General features: G+C 41.0%; 1 protein-coding gene and 1 long non-coding RNA gene across 14 annotated transcripts in view; both read right to left on the bottom strand.

Moving 5' to 3' along the window:
* Positions 1-27,491, bottom strand: part of MCCC1 (methylcrotonyl-CoA carboxylase subunit 1) — a 100,979-nt gene that overhangs the window by 12,721 nt on the left and 60,767 nt on the right. For 9 of the 13 annotated variants that reach the window (NR_120639.2, XM_047448586.1, NM_001363880.1 and 6 more), the window contains 6 exons: positions 24,221-24,302; positions 17,475-17,602; positions 13,629-13,812; positions 11,088-11,197; positions 9,280-9,496; positions 6,053-6,139 (listed from right to left, as the gene is read on the bottom strand). Coding sequence is in view for 10 of the 13 variants with exons in the window: in XM_047448586.1 (XP_047304542.1) it covers positions 6,053-6,139; positions 9,280-9,496; positions 11,088-11,197; positions 13,629-13,812; positions 17,475-17,602; positions 24,221-24,302 (808 nt within the window). In the remaining 3 variants the exon portion in view is untranslated. Of the gene's footprint in view, positions 1-1,154; positions 1,252-6,052; positions 6,140-9,279; positions 9,497-11,087; positions 11,198-13,628; positions 13,813-17,474; positions 17,603-24,220; positions 24,303-27,491 lie in introns of those variants that run through there. The other 4 variants (XM_047448591.1, XM_047448590.1, XR_007095707.1 and 1 more) reach the window with 3 other exon arrangements.
* Positions 2,646-6,046, bottom strand: LOC124906309 (uncharacterized). Its single transcript, XR_007096188.1, has 2 exons — positions 3,292-6,046; positions 2,646-3,233 (listed from the first exon to the last, which is right to left on the bottom strand). It is a non-coding gene; the product is annotated as an uncharacterized LOC124906309 (long non-coding RNA).

Raw genomic sequence — 27,491 nt, forward strand, 5'->3', positions numbered from 1 at the left:
TGATAAATGTGGCTACAAAAAACAACAGACATTTAATGGAGACAAAACAGTCTTCTTTTGGAGGAAGATGCCATCTAGGACTTTCATAGCTGGAGTGGAGAAGTCAATACCTGGTTTCGAAGCTTCAAAGGACAGGCTGACTCTCTTTCTAGGGGTTAATGCAGCCAGTGACTTTAAGTTGAATTAAATGCTCATTTACCATTCTGAAAATCCTAGGGCCTTTAAGAATGATGCTAAATCTACCTGTGCCCTATAAATGGAACAAAGCCTGGATGACAGCACTTCTGTTTACATCATGGTTTACTGAATATTTTAAGCCCACTGTTGAGACCTACTCAATAGTGCTCAGATAAAAAGATTCCTTTCAAAATATTATCACTCAATGACAATGCACATAGTCACCACCCAAGGGCTCTGATGGAGACATACAAGGAGATTAATGTTTTCATGCCTGCTAAGACAACATCCTTTCTGCAGCCCACGGATCAAGGAGTAATTTCAACTTTCAAGTCTTATTAAGAAATATATTTTGTAAGGCAATAGCTGCCATACATTGTGAGTCTTCTGATGGATCTAGGCAAAGTAAATTGAAAACCTTCTACATGCCATTAAGAACATTTGTGATTCATGGAAGGAGGTCGAATTATCAACATTAACAAGAATTTAGAAGACGTTAATGACTCATGGATGACTTTTAGGGGTTCAAAACTTTAGCAGAGGAAGTAACTGCAGATGTGGTAGAAATAGTAAGGGAGCTAGGACTAGAAGTGGAGACTGAAGATGTGACTGAATTGCTGCATCTCAACAGCACTGCATGCTGCAGAGAAATCTTTCATGAAAGGAAGAGTCAGCAGATGCAGCAAACCTCCTTGGTATCTCATTTTATGAAAACTGCTACAGTCACCCCAATCTTCAGCAATTGCCACTATAAATCAATCACAGCCATCAACATTGAGGCAAGACCCTATGCCAGCAACAAGATTACATCTCACTGGAGGCTTAGATAATCATTAGCATTTTTTTTTAGCCATAAAGCATTTCTTAATTAAGGTATATACATTGTTTTTATTTAGACATAATGTTATTGGCACACAATAAAGTATAATATAAACATAACTTTTATATGCATGAGGAAACCAAAAACTTTGACTCACTTTATTGTAGTGGTCTGGAACCAAACCTGTAATAACTCCAGAGTATGCCTAGATTACATGAGTATGGAAATGGTTGATTATCCGAGGAGACGAAAACCTAAAGTTTTGTGGGGTAGAATATACAGGTCAAAATCAATTTGTCTGCTTCTGATACTTCAATGATCATTTTGATGCTGCCAGCTCAAATCTGTTTCCAGCCCCGACATTCCTTCTCCAGGTGACCTCCGATTATTGTCATTACCAGCTGGATGCTCCACTGGTGACTTAAGACGAACATGGCGGGGCCGACAAATCATCTCCCTCTACCTTCTTCTCCAGACCTGTGAGCTCCCTGACTGGCATCCCTATGCTCCTTGTCATCCAGGCTTGAAACCTGTCATCCTTGCCTCATCCTCCTTTGTTTTCCACATGCAACATCCATGCCTCGTACTCCTTCGCTTTTCACATGCAACAGTTTCCACTGCTGGGTTCTGTGAAACATGGCCTCTAGTAGCAGAGAATAGCTTGCAAACCCTGAATACTTAAAACAGTTGGTCATTCTCACTGAGGTCACTAGAAGTTCTTCTGCTTTAGACTCATAAATGCTTCTGGCATCTTATTTTTTTTTCCTTTTTAAAAATTTTTATTTTATAAATAGGGACAGTTACTACAAAGCTGCCAAATTCTTCCCTATCCTATGCATCTCTTCCTTCCATTCCTACTGCTCTACCCTGCCTCAGGCCCCACTGCCTCAGGCCTGGCTGAATCTGAGGAGGTCCTCTGGGGTCTTCCTGCTTCTCATCTCAATAGTCAGAGCTGATGTTCCGACCCCATTCCAAATACTTGGCCTGATATTGGAGGCCCCACCCTCTCAGTCTTATTTCCTACCATTCTCCTCCATGGACGGCCTGATGCTCCACCCAAATAGGAAAGTGGGACAATTAACATTCTCTAGGCCTGGGGAGGTGGCTCACACCTGTAATCCCAGTACTTTGGGAGGCCGAGGTGGGCGGATAGCCTGAGGTCAGGAATTCGAGACCAGCCTGGCCAACATGGTGAAACCCCATCTCTACTAAAAACACAAAAATTAGCTGGGCATGGTGGCACACACCTGTAGTCCCAGCTACTTGGGAGGCTGAGGCAGGAGAATCGCTTGAACCCGGGAGGCAGAAGTTGCAGTGAGCCGAGATCATACCACGGCACTCCTGCCTGGGCAACAGAATGAGAGACTCCGTCTCAAAACAAAACACAAAAAACCAATACACACAAAAAAAATTCCCCATATATGCCCCCAGCTTTCCCTGCACTGTGGCTCTGTGCTCACGCTTCTCCTTCACTACGCTGCTGGTGCCCTGCCACAGCACAGAAACCCCATTGCCCATTCACATCAGCCTCACTGTCCTTGGGAAGAGTTGGCCTGGGCAGCTTAATTTCTCCCTCCTCTGAACATTTAGCCTTCTGCATACAAAACACCCACTATGATTCTCTCCTCATCCTGGTTTACAAAGAGTGATTTTCCTCTCTATCAGTTGTTTCAGAAAAATTATCAAAATAAAAATGTTCACAAAAGTCAAATACTAAAGTACAGGAACTCCAGGGCCCGCACTCTTGACCATCATGCTCTCCAGCTTCTCAACATACACACTTCCAAATGGCAAATTCCTTAACAGAAAAAAAGCAGGGACAAAGACATTTCCTTCTCTTCTCCACATCACTTGGCATATCTATTTTATCAAAAACTTTGTATTGAATGTATGAATGAATAAAACTCTCCACCCTATATCATGTCAACAGGCTTTTACTCTTCTTATCAGAAAGTGCCTCCAGTTACACCACGGCCATTTTCTTTGAATTTATAAAATACGACATGTATTTAACTGGCGCGAATGCCAACAGATCACAGTAAAGACACTACCAAAAAAACTCCTACCCTAGATATCTCTTGTCACATATAAGAGGACCTTAAACATCCTCTCATGCATTTAAGAAGGTATCAAGTGTGGCACCTGCAGTATTAGGTCAGCACGTGTATCCTGGAGTGTGGGTTCAAACCCTGACTCCACCAATAACTTCTGGTGTGACTTTTGGAAAATTACTAATCTCTCTGAGCCTTGACCTTGGCTCACAGAGATTAGTAATTTATAAAGTTCACACTAACAATAACACTAATCTCATTGGCCTTTTCTGAAAATGCAAATGAAACAATCTTTGGAAAGTGTTTAATACAGTATCTGACATAAACCAAAAACTCAATAAATCTTAGCTATTATCATTGAGTTTAGGCAGGGTTCTGTGAAACGTGGCCTCTAGTAGCAAAGTAAGAATAGCTTGCAAGCCTTGAATACTTAAAATAGTTGGTCATTCTCACTGTGGTCACTAGAAGTTGCTTCTGCTTTGGACTCATAAATGCTTCTGGCACCTTTTTTTTTTTTTTTTTTTTTTTTGGGACAGGGTCCCGCTCTGTCGCCCAGGCTGGAGTGCAGTGGTGCAATCTCGGCTCACTGCAAGCTCCACCTCCCAGGTTCATGCCATTCTCCTGCCTCAGCCTCCTGAGTAGCTGGGACTACAGGCGCCCACCACCATGCCTGGCTAATTTTTTGTACTTTTTAGGAGAGACAGGGTTTCACCATGTTAGCCAGGATGGTCTCCATCTCCTGACCTCGTGATCCACCTGCCTCAGCCTCCCAAAGTGCTGGGGTTACGGGTGGGAGATACCGTGCCTGGCACTTCTGGTATCTTTTTTTTTTTTTTTCCTTTTTAAAAATTTTTATTTTATAAATAGGGACAGGATCTCACTATGTCACCTAGGCTGATCTCAAACTCCTGCCCTCAAGCAATCCTCCCGCCTTGGCCTCCCAAAGTGCTGAGATTACAGGTGTGAGCCACTGTGACCAGCCTGGTCTCTTAAGCTTCCTGTTTCATGCATTCTATTTAATTGTGGTCATTGCTTATTAGCATTTTTTGGAGACTTAGCTATGTATCATTTTCTGAAAGCTCTTACATACAGACTTGGATTATTTTCATAGAATACTGCCAAAAGGGTGTAGTGAACAGCAATCATGTTGGCTTTTCAATTATGTATTTATTTTTTCATGAAAACTTTTTTTAATTCCAAAAAATGCAACATACTTCAAATCAGTGCTTGGTGCTTTAGTGAAGAGCCATGCCAAATAACACAGTTGGCCTATATGAATTACAATCAAATATGTAATTCTTCTGTTCAATTCAGGTTGAAGAAGCCAGTGAAACTTTACCGCTTTTGATATTTGCATTCAGCATATAGGAGTCTAGAATAAGATACTTCCAGATTTGGGGGGTTGTATTTTTTAGGATGAAATGAGCATAAATGGATGGGTTAACCATTTGCAGAATGCTACTATATAAAGATGTTTACAAATTTTCATTATAAAGGCTTAACAATATGCCCAATGCACTTAAGATAATGACCATCTAGGCTCAGGATTGAAAAATAACTGAAGAGCTGTAACCCAATAAACTTGTGTGAACAAAATATTTGTTACTGGCTGGCATGGTGGCTCACGCCTGTAATCCCAGCACTTTGGGAGGCTGAGGTGAGTGGATCATAAGGTCAGGAGATCGAGACTATCCTGGCTAAAATGGTGAAACCCTGTCTCTACTAAAAATACAAAAACTTAGCCGGGCGTGGTGGTGGGTGCCTGTAGTCTCAGATACTCGGGAGGCTGAGGCATGAGAATGGCACGAACCCAGGAGGTGGAGCTTGCAGTGAGCCAAGATCGTGCCACTGCACTCCAGCCTGGGCAACAGAGCCAGAGTCTGTGTCAAAAAAAAAAAAAAAAAAATTTGTTACTGGGTGAGTGTCTTCATAGAGGTGAAGTAAAAGAGATTTTCCTCTGTCCAAGGAAGAGCGTTCTGTGATCAGCTGGTGAAAGTATTCTGCTCTACCTGGGAGGCATATTTTTATACCAGAACTGTCACAGTTCAATGACATGTCACATTCAAGGTTAGCCAGGATTCTGAGCTCTGACTCTGCCCATTGGGCCTCCCACACAAACTGTCTCACAGCAGAAGGGATACAGTGACCAGCTATCATAGAATTCTGGTCCTGCTGCTACACTGCTCCAGCCAAAAGTTTATAAACTGCCTTCTGGCTTAAGCGTCAGCCTCTTTTGACATCAGTTAAAGAAAATCAGTCACTAAGTCGAGCCAACTCAAATTAGTTTACAATCAAAAATCAATTTTCTACTGGAAAAGTGGTGGAAACAGCCTAAGAGTCAATGTCACAAAGAGTAGGTGTGAATCCTAGTTCTGCCACTCACTAGCCTTGACTAAACTACTTCACTTCTGTGCCTTACCATCCATGCTTTCATCTTCCATACGTGGGTATAACAGCGACTCCCCCTCATTTACGTTGTGAAGATAAAAACTTACATCAGATAAGGCACTTAATAAATTACAGCTCTGCAGTGACCCACTTCCACCTGAAACCCCTGAAACACTGCATGGGCAGTGGGTAATCGTCCCTCTCTGACATAGTTTTGAAAACTGTTTTTCTTATTTAAAAGTAATACATTCTCGCTGCAGAAAAATTGCAAAGCAAAAAAAAAAGTACAAAGAATTGGGGAAAAAGAGGTTTTTTTGGGCATATTTCTAACATTCTGGCATATTTCATTTCAGCTGTTTTGCTATGTTTATTTTATGACATATTTTTAGAATATTTACAAAATTTTTAAAAAGTGTAAAGAAGAAAAGCAAATACCATCAACTCTACTACCCAGAGCCAATCAATTCTATTATATTGGCATATTTCCCTCCAATGTTTAGCCTAGGCATTTAAAAAATGTAACTGACTGATCATGGCCAGGCTGGAATCCTCTTTTTCAGATTAATGTGATACATTTCTATGACTCACATTTCTCTTTTAATGAAACATTACTTACTGTTTTTACCATCTTTAAGAGTCATGTTTCTGGTATACGAGATATTCAGTCTTCTTCCACTGCTAGACGAAAATGGAGAGAATTGATCTAGAAAAAATTTAAAATTCAGTAACAAACTTATGAGTATCAAGCCTATGAAATTTACACCTTACAAAAGAAAACATAAAATGCAAGTGCTGGCCGGGCACAGTGGCTCATGCCTGTAATCCCAGCACTTTGGGAGGCCAAGGCGGGCGGATCATGAGGTCAGGAGATCGAGACCATCCTAGCTAACACGGTGAAACCCCGTCTCTACTAAAAATACAAAAAAATTAGCTGGGCATGGTGACGGGCGCCTCTAGTCCCAGCTACTCTGGAGGCTGAGGCAGGAGAATGGCGTGAATCCGGGAGGTGGAGCTTGCAGTGAGCCAAGATTGCGCCACTGCACCGGATCCAGCCTGGGCGACAGAGCAAGACTCCGTCTCAAAAAAAAAAAAAAACAAAAAAACACACGTCCTAAACTGGCAGCTCAGATGTGCTTTTTTTGTTCTTCTTGTTAAGTTTAAAGGGCTGGTTTTGTTTACATCTTATGAAATTTCATGTGAAAAATTCTAGCTTCTATTGAAGAATCTGAATATTTGCAATCTAAACTCTAATCCCATAGTGGCATAAACTGTACCACAGTCACCACCTTTTGATGGGGCAAATTCATTCCAGGTCACCAGTCTCTACTATTCACTATTTTTCTTTCACCTGGCCTCTTTTACTCTTTTATGTTTTTATGTTGTTGGCCCAGCCCTTATAGGCCTTTTTTTTTTTTCTTTTTTGAGACGAGTCTCGTTCTGTCGCCCAGGATGGAGTGCAGTGGCATGATCTTGGCTCACTGCAACCTCCACCTCCTGGGTTCAAGTGATTCTCCTGCCTCAGCCTCCAGAGTAGCTGGGATTACAGGTGGGTGCCACCACAGCTGGCTAACTTTTCTATTTTTAGTGGAGATGGGGTTTCACCATGTTGGCCAGGCTGGTCTCAAACTCCTGACCTTAAGTGATCCACCCGCCCTGGGCCTCTCAAAGTGTTGGGATTACAGGCATGAGCCACCGCGCCTGGCCCCTTATAGGCATTTGGGTGTATATCCTCTATTGGACAATATCCAGGAGCTTCAGCATAGCTAAGCTGATGCAATTTATTCTGAACCTCATATCTGTACCAATTATAAACTTTCAAAAGGAAGGTCACAGTAAGACAACGTTCCATTCTAAAAACGTTAAGGTCAGGCTCAGGAATACCACATGGGACGTATTTAGATGCATTTTCATTCAATGTAAAAGGATAAAATGAGGATAGAGCACAAATCTTCTAAAGATGCAGTTTTCGGGACTTAAAACATTTTACATTTTAAGCTTTCCATACAGCTATCTTGAATGAATCTAAATGAATTCAGAAATTAAAGATTCTAATGATAGGATCCTATAATAATACGGGTTCAGTATCACTTACCCAAAATGCTTGGGACCAGAAGTGTTTTGAATTTCAGATTTTTTTTTTTTTTTTTGGATTTTGGATTATTTGCATTATATTTAACTGGCTTAGCATCCCTGATCCAAGTATCTGGAATCTGAACTGTTCCAATGAGCATTTCCTTTGAGCATCATGTTAGTGCTGAAAAAGCTTCCGATTCTGGAGCATTTTGGATTTGGGGATTTGGGATGCTCAAACTGTATAGGGTAATATAATAATTACCAATAAAAGAGAAAAATAGATCAGATTTTTAAAAATTCTGTTTGCTCCGAAAGTCAGAGCTAGCCTGAAATGCAAAAAGTATGTGAGAGCTGAGATTTTGTATCAATTTAAAGGGCAGAACTTTTTTTTTTTAATACTTTAAGTTCTAGGGTACATGTGCACAAGGTGCAGGTTTGTTACATATGTATACATGTGTCATGTTGGTGTGCTGCACCTATTAACTCGTCATTTACATTAGGTATATCTCCTAATGCTATCCCTCCCCCCTCCCCCCACCCCACGACAGGCCCCGGTGTGTGATGTTCCCCACCCTGTGTCCAAGTGATCTCATTGTTCAATTCCCACCTATGAGTGAGAACATGCGGTGTTTGGTTTAAAGGCAGAACTTTCTAATGGAGAACTGACTGAAACTGTAAGCTACCTGATGAGGTAATGAACTTCCAGTTTCCCAAGGTGTTAGGAAGAAGTTGGGCAACAGCTTAGTGGGTGTGCTGGGGTAGGGATGCAATGCATATGTGTGGTAGCCAGGATGAACCCCACTATGGCCCTTCCTATGCTTGGATTCTATGACACTATGAAGTCTCTAGGTAGACATTCAATCACAGGATGGAAAAAGCGGAAGTAATTCGACAATAAGTCATGGGTAACCCTGGGGAATCTAAGTCTCCAGTCTTAGATTGTCTTGAGACTCTGGGACAAAGGGAGTTGCTGCAGGTACAGAGGACAAAACAAAGTAGGGCTATGAGGAGTGGCGAACAAAAGAAGTGATAAGAAATTAGTGTAGGATGTGGGGAGAACAAGTGTTTGACTGAAAAGAGATCCATTTCCTTTTTTTTTTTTTTTTTTTTTAGATGAACTCTCGCCCTGTTGTCCAGGCTGGAGTGCAGTGGCGCGATCTCGGTTCACTGCAACCTCCGCCTCCCGGGTTCAAGCGATTCTCTTGTCTCAGCCTCCCGAGTAGCTGGGACTACAGGTGCGTGCCACCACACCCAGCTTATTTTTTGTATTTTTAGTAGAGACAGGGTTTCACCATGTTAGCCAGGATGGTCTTGATCTCCTGACATCATGATCCGCCCACCCTGGCCTTCTAAAGTGCTGGGATCACAGGCACGTGCCACCACGCCCAGCTAATTTTTTGTATTTTTAGTAGAGATGGGGTTTCACCGTGTTAGCCAGGATGGTCTTGATCTCCTGACCTCATGATCCAGCCGCCCTGGCCTCCCAAAGTGCTGGGATTACAGACGTGAGCCACCGCGCCTGGCCAAAGAGATCCATTTCTACAATGTTAGGTGATTAGTTACACTCCAGTTAATGGGTTAAATAGTGTTTATGGGTGCATCCATGGTAAGTGAAGAGCTTTCCTTCATACTAAAAAACACATCTGAAAAGAATGGTGTCAGTCACTGAGAGGAGAAAAGAGAGGTCAGTGTGCCATACAGAAAGAAAAGCATGTTCAATGATGATTTGCAAAACTTGACAAGCAGAGGAAAGAGAAAAGCCTTCCATACCATGTGCCTGAAGAGTGAAAGTGTCGGTCATGGCTTTCTCCTTGAGGATGAGACCCAGGGCTGCCTGGCATAAAGACTCTTTGGCTGCAGCCTTCCGACTGAGCAACAACTGTTTGTGGTGTTGAGGGATGAAATCAGTGTGCACGTTCCCAGCTTCAAACTCTGGGTGGCCAGACAGGTTGAGTAAGAAGTCAATGTTGGTGTGCAGTCCAACAATCTAGGAAGAGAATAAACCCCCAGTTCCTGCTGAGTGGGGAAAACAATATGTTCAGAAAACCATCTGCTCTTTTTATCTAAGTATTTTCTACTGTGAACAACTCTTAGGAAAAATAAAAAACCTACTAAGGTACCATGTGGCAACAGGACAATTCTCAGGAAAAAAAACACAAAAAAACCATCTCACTATCACTATGTCCATCCGCTATTACTATATCCATCTGGACTTGACACTAAAAATTACATTTTAATATGACAAAGAGGATGCTGGAAATACCGAGGCACTTACTTGACTCAGGTTAGGAACATAATAAATGTTAAGAAACATAAATGAAATTCATTTGCAAGGTATCGAAGACTTGCTGCTCAGAACACTTCCACAGAATAGGAAGACTGCAAACAGCAAGCTGGATTGCTATACTGGGGAGAGGATAGGATTAAATGCCCTCAAAAGAGCTTCTTTCCAACAATAAAATCCAAATTTTATATACCGATACAAAAATTTTAAAAGGTATAAAATTAACCCAAATACACCAATAAATGGGATCAAAAGTAAAACCAGCTATCTGAGCTTTGGGTTCATTCATTCACTCATCCATTCCTTCATTCATTTAACAGCCATTTCCTGAGCATCTCTTAAGTGCCAGGCTCTGATCCAGGCACTGGGGACATAGTGAGGAACAAAACATATGATGTCCCTGCCTTCACAGTCTCTGCTTACATTCTAGGGCAACAAGTAACAATATCTGTAAACAGGTATTGAATATAATGTTACATGCTATGAAGAAAATGAAGGCTGGCTAAGAGGATAAAGAATAACAAAAGGTCATACTTTAAATGGGGCAGCCTGGGAAAGGGCTCAGAGCAGGAGAGCAGGGTAGTCAGGAGGGAGCCCTGCAATCATGTGGGGGAAGAACATTCTGGAAGATTGGACAGGAATGCATGGCTCCATGCTGAGTGAGTCTCAGAAGCGGTGAGGCGGCCAGTGTGGTTGGAGCCACAGAGACCAGAGCTTTGATCAATTATTAACAATAACAAGTTGAATAACTGGGTTAATAAATCCTTCTATGAGCCAAATCAATGTGGTATGGGACTTTCTGCACCAAGGAAATTAATGTTCTACAGAAAAATAACAAACTCTATTAAAGGGATGAAACTGAACATAATTATTTTACTTTAGAGAAAAACTACTGGACTGCAGGCATACTGGGTAGCGAAAACAACATTCAGGAAAACATCTGCTTTTATTTCCTAAGTATTTTCTACTGTGGACAGCTCTTAGGAAAAATAAAAAACCTACGAAGGTACCATGTATAGCTGGCCTTATCTACAGAGTGAATAGGATTTCACCGAAGCATAGCACTGACACTAACAATTTTACTTCTGCAATCTTTCTTTTGTAACTGAAATGAAGAAGTCCTCAAACCCTGTTCTGGCCCACGCAAAATTCTCCCATGTGAAACTATTTTGTTTGGGCAATTGATGGAAATAGAAAATATGCTGACGAGACCAAGGCCCTGCCAAAGACAAAGGCTGACCTCTGGTGCTGACCAAACACATCAAGGTCACTGGCACGGTCTCAGATCACTCACATTGTACTGACGAAGGCTGTACCTCAGTTTTGTCAATGCCGCCTGGCGATCTGCTGCCCACACGACCAGCTTCGCAATCATGGGGTCATAATGCACGGAAACTTCGTCTCCTGAAATTGAAAACCACGGTAACCTCTTCAAGTCAAAACACGAAGGAATAAAATACAACGAGCAAGACATTTTGTTATGTACATTTCACGCTTAATCCTCATAAACCCCTGCATGATAAATAACAACACAAATTTATTCATGAGGACCCTGAGGTTCAGAGGGCTTTGAAAACTCACCAGGTGTAACGAGGTGGGCCACCCAACAGCACCAGGCCCTAACGTGGTGATTCAATGGCACACAAGCTGGCTTTCCCTGTCCTATCTTCTTCTGAATCTTCTTTTCCCTTCTCATTTTCAAAGTCAACACAATCTCCCTCCACCCTCTCACATTCCCCTCATTTCTGCCCTTAGCATTCCCCTCCCCTCCACTCTTTCAGTTTCCGTACTAGTCAAGCAAGTTTAATAATTCCTCTGTCCTGCAGGGTTGCTGGGAGGAGTGACAATAAAGTGACAAGTGCCATACCTGGCAAAACTGATAAACCAATGGCAGCTATCATCACTGGGATGGTTACAGTCCTAGAGAACAAGAATCTGAACCAGGGCACATTCCACTGGTTAGAAATGGTTCAAGTAGAAAGGATGTGGTGTGTTGAAAAGAACGTTGTTGCAGGGTCTTTCCAGGATTTTGGCAGGTCACTTGACCTCTTTGAACCCCAGAGTCCTCGTTGATAAGATTAGAGGTGCCTACAGGTGGCTCACGCCTGTACTCCCAAGACTTTGGGAGGCCGAGGTGGGCAGATCACAAAGTCAGGAGTTCAAGACCAGCCTGGCCAACATAGTGAAACCCTGTCTCTACTAAAAATACAAAAAATTAGCCGGGCGTGGTGGCGGGTGCCTGTAATTCCAGCTACTCAGGAGGCTGAGGAAGGAGAATCATTTGAACCTGGGAAGTGGAGGTTGCAGTGAGCCAAAATCGTGCCATTGCACTCCAGCCTGGGCAACAAGAGTGAAACTCCATCTCAGAAAAAAAAAAAAAAAAAAAAAAAAAAAAAGGAAGGAACCGGTGGGGCAAGCAGAGTTAAGATGCTTTGCTAAGTTAAAAAGTCTACTAACTACCAAATCTTGCTGTGGCTTATCCAGAGCTCTCAAAATGCTGCCAATTTATTTTTAAGAAGATCTAAATCCTCATTTTGGCTTTTAGGACACTAGGATTTGCCTTCAACCCATGTCTCCAGTCATATATTTTCTTACTATTCTTCAAACATACCTTTTTCTCTTTTCTTCACTCTTCATTATGCTGTTTAAATCTACCTATCTAAATCCATTCCAGACATCCTCTTAAAAACTTGTCCTGGCCAGGCACGGTGGCTCACCCCTGTAATCCCAGCACCTTGAAAGGCCAAGGTGGGCAGATCACTTGAGGCCAGGAGTTTGAGACCAGCCTAGCCAACATGGTGAAAACCTGTCTCTACTAAAAATACAAAAAAAAAAAAAAAAATTAGCTAGGCATGGTGGTATACACCTGTAATCCCAGCTACTCGGGAGGCTGAGGCCTGAGAACTGCTTAAGTCAGGGAGATAAAGGTTGTAGTGAGCTGAGATCACACCACTGTACTCCAGCCTGGGCACAGAGTGAGACCTTGTCTCAAAAACAAAAACAAACAAAAAAACAAACAAACAAAAAACTTGTCCTAATTATATCAGTCTAGTGTGACCTCTTACCCCTGAGAATTGCTATATCCCATCACTGTATAACTTATTCCAGCAATTGAAATTAAGATGACAGGAGACCGTGGAGGCTCAGAGCACTGACTCTGGAGCAAGACTGCCTGGGTCTGAATCTTGGCTCCAAGGATGACCTTGGACAAGTCACTTAACTCTTCTGTGCTCCAGTTTCCTCATCTAGAAAACAGGGATGATAATAATGCCTACTTACAGGGTACTTCTCATGGTGAAAGGAACACAAGTAGAAAAATCACCTAGAGCAGTGCCTGTAAGTAGGAAGTCCTAAATAATCACTAGTTATGACCACTGTTATTAATCATATGCTGAACTGTGATAGCTCTTCCACTGTTTCTTTACTTTAATTTTTTTATTGTTTAGCTTATACTAAGTTTATGTGTTAATTCTCCAACTTGACTTTATGTCCTTTGAAGGCAGTCTGCCTTGTGCATAGCAGATATCAGTCATCTTAAATCATTTTTGGAATGAGGCAAGGTCAAGAACAGTACACACAAAATATTTCCTGGTTAGGTTTGACCAAGTACTGCTGAATTTCAAAAAAAAGGAGTCCGTTGTTGAAAAATACTTGTTATTCTTTAAAAATAACAATTCCAGAGGCAAAAAGTAATGGTTACTGAGAAATCACTTAAATTCTTTATTTTAAAATATGCTAGACAGTTCTGTAAGACTCAGGGATAAGAATGTGTCCAAAAACAATAATGTACTAAAAACTTAAAAAGAGTGAGACTTTTCATTTTCTTTCACTTTACCTTGCCGTACTCCAGTTTCAATCCTGGTGGAAGGGTCTGCTCGAGGAGTAGAGAGGTGCACTAATGGGCCTGCCACAGGCATGAAGTTATTGCTAGGATCTTCTGCATATATTCTAGCTTCGAAGGCATGGCCCTGCAGAGTTATTTCTTCCTGGCTCAAAGGAATCTTCTCTCCTGCTGCAATCTGGCAATAGAATAGTGTTTCTTATGAAATCTACCGTATAGCGGCTACCAGACTTAGTAAATCAATGGTCTTGCTTTTTTTCTAGGTAAAATGTACATTTAGGTTTTGCAATGCAGCCAAATAAAAACTATTATTTTGTCTACTCATTTGAGTATTGGGCAAAACAAAAAATTAAAAAACAGATGCAGCTTGGCAACAGTCTATCATTTGGGGTATCGGAGTTTTTAAATGGCAAAAGCAGGCAAAGTGATGGCTAACTTACAAATATAAAAATCAGTGTTTGTTCAATATAATCAAAACCAAAACTTCTTACTAGCAACACACTCTCAGTTTTCATTTAAAACATTAGCACTTAATTCCCAAATCAATTTTTTTTAAAAAATAGTATATTATTAGTGTTTAGGACTAGATTCACAGCCAAGCAAAAAGTGTAGCTGACATTGTCATCCTACGCTGTAATCTTCACCAGTAAGTGGGTGATAAAGCAAAACAGAAAGGGGAAAATGATGGTTTTTCAATTTTGTTATGTTGATATGTACTGCATGATACCAGATTACAAACAGGGTGATCACTATTGTTTGTTGTTACTATAATTATTACTATTTTAGTTATTATGTACCAATACAACAAATCACTCTCTTCAATTAACTAGTATAAATTGGAAATGGCTATTGGAGGACACATTGCACTTTCTCTCTTTACTCTTAAGTTTTTTTCCAAGATGAGAAAATGACAACCTGAGAAAGCAATATAGATACAGGAAAATCTAGACTCTAAGTAACTTAGCATGACATTGAACTAAACCGGTAAGTATAAAACAGAAGCAAAAGTTTCATTTTTCTGAATCTGTAAATATGAAAGATCAGGATGCACAGCAGTTAAGAATGAAAGGAAACGGAACTAAGTTAAATACCTTTATGGCAGTATATTTTGAAAACACCTCAGGCTCTGCAGACAGATTGCCTAGGTTCAAATTTTGTCTCTATACTTACTTTGTCATCTAGACAAGTTTCTTAAGCTTTCCATGCTTCAGAGAAAAGTGTCTGGCATACAGTCAGCACTATGTTACCTATTATCATTCCATCCTTAGGATCTAGAACCAGAAATACCATTTGACCCAGCAATCCCATTACTGGGTATATACCCAAAGGATTACAAATCACTCTACTATAAAGACGCATGCATGTGTATGTTTATTGCAGCACTGTTCACAATAGACTTGGAACCAGTTTTTTAACGTTTTAATAAATAATTCTGGGTCAGGTGTGGTGGCTCATGCCTGTAATCCCAGCAATTTGGGAGGCCGAGGCAGGCGGATCACCTGAGGTCAGGAATTCAAGACCAGCCTGGCCAACATGGTGAAACCCTGTCTCTACTAAAAACACAAAAATTAGCCGGGCATGGTGGCACACGCCTGTAATCCCAGCTACACGGGAGGCTGAGGCAGGAGAATTGCTTGAAGCCGGGAGGTAGAGGTTGCAGTGAGCTATCACGCCATTGCACTCCAGCCTGGGCAAAAAGAGCAAAACTCTGTCTCTTGTGTTCACCTTGACTTGTCTTTGCCTGTCCATTTTCCTCCAAGCTTGGCTTCCACTTGAGCCCAGAAAAGACAGGCCCCAATCATGCCTCTGGGTCTTTGGAGATATGTGCCATTTGAGTTCTCTCAGGCTGACACTGGCTCTCCGGAACCCCTAACCTTGACATTTTCACCAGCTTTCCCTGAACACTGTTAACTATCTGTATCTGCAGCCTGAACCCAGGACACTTACATCAGTCATCATTCAACCCTTGTTCTAGGAAGGCTTGACTGCACAGGCAGGTCCTCGAGCTTAGACTCTTGACTCACCAAATGGTGAGCCCCTTTGTTTTACCTCTGTTTGAAGGCCAGATGCCAAATGCCTTGAACTCTATAAACCAGGTCCAGCAGCTTCCCTAAGTTCTAGTGTCCCTCCCCAGATGATAAAAGCTGGCTTCTCTTTCTGAAGAGCCTTGACAAGCTCTTACAAGAAATAGATGTCTGCTGGTTTCCTTAATACCCAAAAGCTTTCTCCTTCCTTAATCCTTAGAAACCTTTTTTTCTCTTATGATTTCCAAGGTCGAAACTCTCTTGATTTACTGCTTCAGAAAAATTATCCTCCTTTTCCTTGAATTCTGGAAATATAAACACTCCTTCCAGAAGTTTCCAAAGCCACTACAGTTTTTCTTGACACTCACTAAAACTTACCAGCTTGCTGTGCCTGGTTTTCGTTAACACCCTAGGATATAGAGCCCTAGAAGAACCTTTTGGCTCAATTAGAACCACCAATCACCCCCAAGGAACCAACAAAAGGAGTATCATATTATTATCTACAGAAGTTCTGAAAAGATAAAATTACCAAAATAATCAAGATTTTGGCGTCACACCAGGAAAAAACAATTTAGATGCAGGATATACAAGGAACCACGAATCCTACATATATCAGGACCGTCTATATTACTTAACAGATTTTTTTCATGTTAGGAAAAAGAAGGCTAAAGTAAAATCTATTGTTCTTATGAGAACAAAAACAGACTAAGCTATTATTAATATTTGAGAAGTATGTTTTGTGGAATTCTGGTTTACACCAGTGCTTCTCAAACTATCCATAGTAAAAGAACAGTTATAAACTTACATGTTTGAAAAATACAGTAGGCATGTCATAGCAATGCCAAAATGCTTTAAAAGTTTCCAAACATTTACTCTGAATGAACATTTACTCATGGGCCCGCAACAGCCATAAATCCGCACTTTACTTGGATCATTCTAGACCATCTCCTTGGCTCTTCATTCCCAACTCTGCCTTAGCTCATTTCATCTTGCCTAGTATCTGCCCTGATCTGAAACCGAATGATGGCCTGGCCCAGAATGCTGTGGCCTTAGGTAGACCATGAGGCTTTGACCTTGAGGTGATGTGGTTGTGAGCAAGCCCCTGTGACACAATCTCACCTGCTGGCTGCCCGGGCCTAGGGGGAAGTGAATCTGAGTCCCTAAAGTGCCAAAAAAAGCTACAGCATCAAATGTGGCTTCACTTTTAACCTCCCATCTTCCTGTCCTCATAACCACCAAGAACTGAACCCCGTCCAAAATGACACCTGTTTTAGGAGGCCAGAAGGTAGTAACCTATTCTCAAGACTGTTTTGTTGTTGTTGTTGTTGTCGTTGTTGTTGAATTATAGATTCAGGTGGTACACGTGAATGTTTGCTACATGGGTATTTTGCATAATGCTGGGATTTGGGCTTCTGATGAACCCATCACTCAAACAGTGAACACGGTACCATTTAGGTAGTTTTTCAGCCCTCACATCCCTCCCATCAAGACTGATCTTTTTTTTTTTTTTTTTAAGATGGAGTACCCAGGCTGGAATGCAGTGGCGCGATCTCGGCTTACTGCAACCTCTGCCTCCCAGGCTCAGTGATTCTCCTGCCTCAGCCTCCTGAGTACCGGGGACTACAGGCACCCGGCACCACGCCCGGCTAATTTTTGTATTTTTGGTAGAGACAGGGTTTCACCACATTGGCCAGGCTGGTCTCGAACTCCTGACCTCAGGTGATCCACCTGCCTTGGCCTGCCAAAGTGCTGGGACTACAGGCTTGAGCCACCGCACCCAGCCAAGGCTGATTTTTAATAGAAAAAATATTCTCACTCTAAGCTGCCACTCCACCAAGTCAGTTCCTGTGATCATCTCAGTAACAGGATGTTCCACTTGCAGCCTTGTATTCATCTCCATGAAACAGAAATTATGTTTTGAGTCCATAATAAACTCCACAGTCCCTAAAAGGTAAAAAACAATGGTCATATTCAATAGTGTATAATCAGTAGCAAACCAAAATCTTCCATGATGCATCACATCAAGTTTTACCGCTGTCTTCATTCAATGGTAACACTTTGCATTTCATGAAGAAAACATCTCGCATTTGCAGCAGCATATGAATCTTAGTCAAAAATAGAGAGCTGCATGAAATTTGGCAACGGAAAAGTATATTTGGGGTTGTGAGCAAATGGTAAGCCCAAATTATGAATCCGTTTCAGCTTGTAACAGTGAGAACAAGGGTGGACCACATGTTACTGCCTCAGAGCACCAAGATCCTGGGAGCCTCATACCATGACATCCCATCTCACCCTAACCCCATGGAGAAAAAGAAAACTTTTTTTTCCCTGATTGTGGGCTCCTAGGAATTTCTTTTTAAAGCCCTTTTGCTGGTAACCCATTGAAAGATTGTTTGGCAACTAAACCTTATGTTAATATCTATTGGCATTCTATTAAGCTCTAAAAAATTTCCCCTAACTTTATTAAGGTTTAATTTTAGACAACAAACTGTAACTATTTGAAGTGTAGGCATGTGATTTAGCAATTGAATACAATCACAGAACCACAATGAAACTACAGAACATTTCCATCATCCAAAAAGTTCCCTTGTTCCCATTTGGAATCAGTCCCTTCACTAAACCCTGGGATCCAGGAAACCACCAATCTGCTTTCTGTCACTATAGTTTTTCTAGAATTTTATATAAATGAAATCATATAGTTTGTAGTCTTCTGTGTTTCTGTGTTTTTCTCTTAGCTTAAAGTGAATACAATGTAAAGTTGTTTTTAAAAGTGTGGTCACAACCCATTAGTGGATTTTAAAATCAATTTTTTTTTTTTTAAGATGGAATCTCACTCTGTCATCCAGGCTGGGGTGCAATGGCGTGATCTTGGCTCACTGCAACCTCTGCCTCCCGGGTTCAAGCAATTCCTCCACCTCAGCCTCCTGAGTAGATGGGACCACAGGCGCACACCACTATGTCCAGCTAATTTTTTTGTATTTTTAGTAGAGATGGGGTTTCACCATGTTGGCCAGGCTGGTCTTGAACTCCTGACCTCAAGTGATCCACCTGCCTCAGCCTCCCAGAGTGCTGGGATTACAGGTGTGAGCCACTGTGCCCAGCTTAAAATCAATTTGAAAATCAATCTGATCCGGCATCTAAGGAGCTTAGAAGCTGCCACTCTGTCCTATCAAGTAAAAAGCTGAACAAGCTGAAAATCAACAATTTTTAAATTTGTCAGAGAAATCAGGTCACAGGGCAAGCTGCTTGTCCTCAGAACCAGAGAGACAGACAACTGACAGGCAGATACAGAGATGCCATGAGGAGAAGCCTGAGCTGTAATTGACAAATTCCTGGTAGCTCAGTGTGGACAACTCTGAGAGTTAAAAACTCCAAGGCGACCCAGTTACAGGAGGACCTCACACTTTTGTGAGTTTTACCTCCAGGAGCTCTACCAGGTCTTCACAGTGAATATCAGAGAAAAATCCTCCCATGCTTCCAGCTCAGAAGGGAAATGAAACCACTTTGAAATACACCAAAACATTCAAGGTTTACCCTTGAGAAAAACTATTTTATCAGAGCCTAAACGATTGGGATTTTATCAGAGCCTAACCTCACTGGGGGAGGAGAAATACCCAACTCCAGCCTTTGCCAGACATACTGTCCACCCTAAGGGGTGGGGGAAAACAAAACAAAAACATACCAGGAAGCACTGGTGAAGTTCACACACCAGGGGCACAGGCTCAGCAAGACTGAGATCTGATCATGGGACAAGAGAACATGCCCCCTCCAGCCTTATCACATTACCAAAGGCCTGTTTAGCAAAATTCTCTTTACCCAGTACACCATGTCCATCTTTCAACAAAAAATTACAAGGCATACTAAAAGGCAAAAAACACAGTTTGAAGAGACTGAAGAAGCATCAGGTATGGCAGGAATGTTAGAATTATCAGACACAGAAATTCTAAACTGTGATTAACAGGCTAAGGGCTTTAATGAAAAAAGTAGACAACATGCAAGAACAGATAGATAATGTAAGCAGAGAGGTGAAAATTCTAAGAAAGAATAAAAAGGAAATGCTAGAATTGAAAAAAAAAAAACCATAACCCTAATAGAAATGAAGCATGCTTTGATGGGCTCATTAGTACGTTGGGTATGGCAGGGAAAGAACCTCTGAACTTGAGGATATGACAACAGAAACTTCCAATTCTGAAAAACAGTGAGAAAAAAAACCTTAAACAGAACAATACCTAGCACTGCAAGACAACTACAAAAGGTATTAACTACGCAGAACGAGAATACCAGAAGGAGAAGAAAGGAAGGAACAGAAGTAATATTTGAAACAATAATAACATGTTACTGCATACTGTAGGCAACTGTAACACAGTGGTAAGTATTTGTGTATCTACATATATCTAAACCTAAAGAAAGTAATGCATTGTACTATGATGTTACAGTTGCCACAATGTCACTGGATAGGAATTTTTCAGCTGCATTTTAATCTTATGGAACCATTGTTATATTGAATAAAATGGTGTTATGCAGCATATGACTGTACTTGATATGCTAAAAAAGGAGAGGAAATTGGATCATAGAAGATGCTCAATTAAAACCATGAAAGGCAGAAAAAGTCTGAAAGATAAAAATAGGAACAAACAAGGGGAATAAATAGAAAACAATAATAAATATGGTAAATATTAATCAAAGTACATTAATAATCACTTTAAATGTTGATGTCTAAATATACCAATTAAAAGACAGAGATTGTTGGAGTAGATTAAAAAACAAAAGACAAATATATGTTACCTACAAGAAATCCACTTTAAAGACTTATAGACTTAAAGTAAAAACAGACAAAGAATATGCTAACACCAAAGAAAGTGCGAGTAGCCATCTTAATTTTAGAGCAAACTTCAGAGCAGGGAAAGTTATCAGGGATAAGGAGGGGCATTAAACAATGATAAAAGGGTAGACATAACAATTTTTAACATGCATGTACCTAACAACAGAGCATAAAATATATGTAGCAAAAAAGAATTGTAAGGAGAAATAGATTAATTCACTATTACAGTTGGAGACTTTAACACCCATCTGTTATTAAATAGATATGGATGATCCAGCAGGCAGAAAATCACTAAGGACATAGTTGAATTCAACAACACCATCAATCAACTGGATACAACTGTCATCTATAGACTATTTCATCCAACAACAGCAGAACACATTCTCAAGCTAGAAAGGAATATTCACCAGGATAGACCACATTCTGGACCATAAACCACATCTTAACAAATTTAAAAGAATATAAATCATAACAGTGTCTGCTCTCAGAACATAACAGAATTAAACTAGAAATCACTAACAGAAGGATATCTGGAAAATCCTAAGATATTTGGATGTTAAACAACACACTTCTAAATGACACCTGAATCAATAAAGAAATCTCAAGAAAAAATTTAAAATATTCTCAACTAAATAAAAATACAACTTTCAAAATTTGTAGAATGCATCAAAAGCAGTGCTTAGTGGGAAATTTATAGCATTGAATGTATATATTAGAAAAGAAAATACCAAAATCAAGAATCTAAGCTTATATTTTAATTAATGAGAAGAGAACAGCAAATTAAATCCAAAGTAAGCAGAAGAAATAATAAAAATTAAAGCAAAAATTAATGAAATTGAAAATGGAAAATCAATAGAAAAAAATCACCAAAACCCAAACCAGTTCCTTGAAAAGATCAATAAAATCAGTAACCTTGGCCACAGCGGGCAGCTCAAAAGGTCAAGAGATCAAGACCATCCTGGCCAAGATGGTGAAACCCATCTCTACTAAAAAAATATAAAAATTAGCTGGGTGTAGTGGCGTGCACCTGTAGTTCCCAGCTACTCGGGAGGCTGAGGCAGGAGAATTGCTTGAACCCAGGAGGCGGAGGTTGCAGTGAGCCAAGATCTCACCATTGCACTCCAGCCTGGCGACAGAATGAGACTTTGTTTCAAAAAAAAAAAAAAGAAAAAAGAAAAGAAACAAAAGCACAATAACCTTTAGCCAGGTTAACTAAGAAAAAAAGAAGAGAGAAAATACAAATTGCTAGTAACGGAACAAAAAGAGGTCTATTACTACAGGTCCCATGGACATTAAAATGATAATAAAGAAATATTATGAATAATTCTATGCCCACAAATTTGATAACCTAGATGAAATGAACCAATTCCTTCAAAGACACAATCTGTCAAAACTCCTACAAGAAAGAGAGAACCTAGGGCCAGGTGCAGTGGCTCATGTGTGTAATCCCAACACTTTGGGAGGCCAAGGTGGGAAGACTGCTTGAGCTCAGGGGTTTGAGACCAGCCTTGGCAATACAGGGGGACCCTGTCTCTACTAAAAAATTTAAAAATTAGCTGAGTGTTGTGGCACATGCCTGTAGTTCCAGCTACTTGGGAGGCTGAGGTGGGAAGATCACTTGAGTCCAGGAAGTGGAGGTTGCAGTGAGCATAGGCCAGGTATGGTGGCTCACGCCTGTAATCCCAGCACTTTGGGAGGCCATGGCAGGAGGATCCCTTGGGGCCAAGAGTCTAAGACCAGCCTGGGCAATATGAGACCCTGTCTCTATAAAATTAAATTAAAAAAAGAGAATCTGAATAGCTATATTTATTAAAGAGATTAAGTCAATAATTAATAACCTTCCAAAACAGAAAGCACAAGGCCAGCTGAGTATAATATAACCTAGACAAGCTTGAGTATGGTGATGACTTTTTATATACAACACCAAAGGCATGATCTACAAATAATTTATATACTGGACTTCATTAAAACTTAAAACTTCTGCTCTGTGAAAAGGAAAGTCGGCCGGGCGCGGTGGCTCAAGCCTGTAATTCCAGCACTTTGGGAGGCTGAGGTGGGCGGATCACCTGAGGTCAAGAGTTTGAGATCAGCCTGGCTAAAGTGGTGAAACCCCGCCTCTACTAAAAATGCAAAAAAGTAGCTGGGTGTGTGATGGCACGTGCCTGTAATCCCAGCTACTCAGGGGGCTGGGACAGGAGAATCATTTGAACCTGGGAGGCGGAGGTTGCAGTGAGCCGAGATCACACCATTGCATTCCAGCCTGGGAGACAGAGTGAGACTCTGTCTCAAAAAAAAAAAAAAAAAAAAAGAAAGGGAAAGTTGAGAAGTGAAGACAAGCCTCAGACTGACAGTGTTTGCAAAGGCACATCTGATAAAGAACTGTCATTCAAAATATACAAAGGACTCTTAAAACTCAACAATAGGAAAACAAACAACCTGATTAAAAAATGGGTGAAAGACCTGAACAGACACTTCATCAAAGAAGATATAAAGATGGCAAGTATGCATATGAAAAGATGTTCAACACTGTATGTCATTAGGGAAGTGCAAATTAAAACAATGAGATACCAAATGGCCTGAATCCAAAACACTGACATCACCAAAAGCTGGAGAGGATTTGGAGCAACAGGAAACCTCTTTTGTTGCTGACAGGAATGCAAAATAGTACTGTCACTTTAGAATAGAGTTTGTCAGTTTCTTCCAAAACTAAATATTCTTTTACCATGTGACCCAGTAGCACGCTCCTTAGTATTCACCCAAATAAACTAAAAAATTATGTCCATACAAAAGCCTGTTTGTTTTCAGGGTGTTTATAGCAGCTTTATTCATAATTGCCAAAACTTGGAAGCAACCAAGATGTCCTTCAGTAGCTAAATAGATAATAAACTCTGAGACATCGAGACAACGAAATATTATTCAGCATAAAAAAGAAATGAGCTATCAAGCCATGAAAAGACATGGAGGAAACTTAAATGCATATTATAAAGAAGCCAATCGGAAAAGGCTACATACTGTATGATTCCAGCTATCTGAAATTCTTGAAAAGGCAAAACTATGGGGGCAGTAAAAACATGAGTGGCTGCCGGGGTTTAGGGGGGATGAAAGGATGAATAGACAGAGCACAGAGGATATTTAGGGCACTGAAACTATTCTATACCATAGTACAATGGTGGATACATATCATTATACATTTGTCAAAACTCACAGAATGTACAACACCAAGAGTGAGCCCTAATGTAAACTATGGACTTGGGTGATAATGATGTGTCAATGTAGGGTCGCTGACTGTAACAAACGTACCTCTCTGGTGCAGGAATATTGATACTGTGGGAGCTTGTGTGTTGGGGGGTATCCGAGTGGGGGACAGGGGGTATATGGGAATTCTCTGTACCTTTTGCTCAATTTTGCTGTAAGCTTAAAACTGCTCTAAAAGAGAAAGTTTATTAACCATAAAGAAGTAAAAAAATCAATCTAGTGATTTTAAAATAGAATACAAAATATCAAAACTCATATAATTAAGACAAGTACTGTTTAATGAAACATTTGTTTCAAATATATATGTATGTAAAAATAAACATTTATGTGTACATACTAAGTCTCAATATAAAATGTATTTCTTACTGTGAATATGGTCAAAACAGCTTGAAAGCAACTGATTTAAAAGTTGTGTTTCTCTTGCCTTCTAAAACATAAATTAAACACTGTTACGTCTCTTCCATTAGAAGCAAATCTTAACCTACCTGCTCCAACATAATTTACAGCTTTAGCAGCTCTGACTGCAGCTTCTCCCAGCTTTTTTCTTACTTCAGATTTAATACCAGGCTATGAAAAAAATATGTAAATAAATCTCCATTAGTAGCTTGCCTTACTAGAAATTCCATTAAAATTCAATTCAGTCAGGTGCCACATAATGACGTTTCTTAGTCAACAACAGACCACATATACAACAGTTGTCCCATAAGATTATAATGGAGCTGAAAAATCCCTATCACCTAGTGACACTGTAGCTGTCATAACATCACAGCACAGTCATTACTCATGTGTTTTGTGGTGAGGCTGGTGTCAACAAAACGACTTCACTGCCATTATACAAAAGTATAGCACAATCAGCCAGGTGCGGTGGCTCACGCCTGTAATCCCAGCACTTTGGGAGGCTGAGGCGGGCGGATCACAAGGTCAGGAGATTGAGACCATCCTGGCTAACACGGTGAAACCCTGTCTCTACTAAAAATACAAAGAAAATTAGCCAGGCATGGTGGCGGGCGCCTGTAGTCCCAGCTACTCAGGAGGCTGAGGCAGAAGAATGGCGTGACCCTGGGAGGCGGAGCTTGCAGTGAGCCGAGATCACGCCACTGTACTCCAGCCTGGGTGACAGAGTGAGACTTTGTCTCAAAAAAAAAAAAAAAAAAAAAAAAATACAGCCCAATCATGTGCCGTATATAATACTTGATAATACAACTACGCTATTGTTTTTTTAATTTACTATACTATACAATTTTTATAGTTATTTTAAAGTGTATCCCTTTTACTTAAAAAAAAAAGTTAACTGTAAAACAGCCTCAGACAGTTCCTTCAGGAGATATTTCAGAAGAAAGCATTGTTATCATAGAAGATGACAGCTCCATAGATGTTATTGACCCTGAAAACTTTTATTGGGACAAGATGTGGAGAAAAGACAGTGACACTGATGATCCTGATTCTGTTTAGGTCTAGTCTAATGGGTGTGTTTGTGTCTTCATTTTTAACAGAAAAGGTTAAAAAGTTAAAACAGGCCGGGTGTGGTGGCTCACCCCTGTAATCCCAACACTTTGGGAGGCCGAGACGGGTGAAGCACTTGAGCCCAGGAGATTGATACCAGCCTGGCAAGAATCAAACCATGGAGCAACATGGCGAGACCCTGTCTCTACAAAAATAAAAAAATTGGCCAGGCATGATAGCACACACCTATAGTTCCAGCCACTCAGGAGGCTGAGGTGGGAGGATCACTTGAGCCCAAGAGGTCAGGGGTCTAGTGAACCATGTTTGTGCCACTGCACTCTAGCCTGGGTGATACAGCAAGACCCCATCTCAAAAAATTTTAATTTAATTTAAAAATTTAAAAATAGGGGCCAGGCACGGTGGCTCATGCCTGTAATCCCAGCAGTTCGGGAGGCCAAGGTGGGCGGATCATGAAGTCAGGAGTTCGAGACCAGCCTGGCCAACATAGTGAAACCCCGTCTCTACTAAAAATACAAAAATTAGCCGGGTGTGGTGGCAGGCGCCTGTAGTCCCAGCTACTCTGGAGGCTGAGGCAGGAGAATGGCGTGAACCCAGGAGGCAGAGGCTGCAGTGAGCCAAGACTGCACCACTGCACTCCAGCCTAGGCTACAGAGTGAGGCTCTGTCTCAAAAAAAAAACAAAAAAAAACAAAAAAAAATTAAAAAATAGGAAAAAGCTTATAGAATTAAGGCTATAAAGAATTTTTTTTTTTTTTTTTTGAGATGGAGTCTCACTCTGTTGCCCAGGCTGGAGTGCAGTGGTATGATCTCGGCTCATTGCAACCTCTGCCTCCCAGGTTGTTTTAAGCAATTTTCCTGTCTCAGCCTCCCGAGTAGCTGGGATTACAGGCGCCTGCCACCACATCCAGATAATTTTTATATTTTTAGTAAAGGCAGGGTTTCAGCATGTTGGCCAGGCTGGTCTCGAAGTCCTGATCTCAAGTGATCCGCCCGTCTCAGCCTCCCAAAGCCCTGGGATTACAGGTATGAGCCACCATACCCAGCCAAGAAAATTTTTTTTTTTTTTTTGAGAGGAGTCTTGCTCTGTCGCCCAGGCTGGAGTGCAGTGGCGCGATCTCGGCTCACTGCAAGCTCCGCCTCCCGGGTTCAGGCCATTCTCCTGCCTCAGCCTCCTGAGTAGCTGGGACTACAGGCGCCTGCCACCATGCCCGGCTATTTTTTTTTGTATTTTTAGTAGAGACGGGGTTTCACTGTGTTAGCCGGGATGGTCTCGATCTCCTGACCTCGTGATTCACCCGTCTCGGCCTCCCAAAGCGCTGGGATTACAGGCGTGAGCCACCGCGCCCGGCCTAGAAAAAATATTTTTGTATGTCTGCATAATGTGTTTGTGTTTTAAGCTAAGTATTATTAAAAAGAGTCAAAAGTGAAAACAAAATTTAAAAGTTTATAAAGCAAAAAAGTTATAGCAAGCTAAGGCTAATTTATTAAATAAAAATATTTTTTATAAATTTAATTGGCTCTAAGTATACAGTGTTTACCAAGTGTACAGTGATGTACTAGGTCTTCACATTCACTCACTGTCCCACCCAGAGCAACTGAAAATCTTGCAGGCTCCATTCATGGTAAGTATTCCACATAGGAGGTGTATCATTTTAATAATCTTTTATACTGTATTTTTACTGTACCTTTTCTACGTTTATATATGTTTAGATACACAAATACTTACCATTGTGTTACAACTGCCTACAGTATTGAGTACAGTAACATGCTGTATATAGGTTTGTAGCCTAGGAGCAATGGGCTCTACCAGCAGCCTAGGTGTGTGGTAGGCTTTGCTATTTAGGTTTAAGTACACTCTATGATGTTAACACAATTACAAAATCAACTAAGGACGCATTTCTCAGAATGTATTCCTATTGTTAAGCAATGCATGACTGTATTATATTTCTGTGTACCAAATTCTGCATTAAAAAGGATAAAAAGCTGGCCGGGTGCGGTGGCTCAAGCCTGTACTCCCAGCACTTTGGGAGGCTGAGGCGGGTGGATCACGAGGTCAGGAGTTCAATATCAGCCTGGCCAAGATGGTGAAACCCCGTCTCTACTAAAAAATAGAAAAAAAAAAAAAATTAGCCGGGTGTGGTGGTGGGTGCCTTAATCCCAGCTACTTGGGAGGCTGAGGCACAGAACTGCTTAAACCCGCGAGGCGGAGGATGCAGTGAGCTGAGATCGCGCCACTGCACTCCGGCCTGGGTGACAGAGCGAAACTCCATCTCAAAAAAAAAGGATAAAAAGC

This window comes from Homo sapiens, chromosome 3, assembly GCF_000001405.40.
Source record: "Homo sapiens chromosome 3, GRCh38.p14 Primary Assembly".
Lineage (NCBI taxonomy): Eukaryota > Metazoa > Chordata > Mammalia > Primates > Hominidae > Homo > Homo sapiens.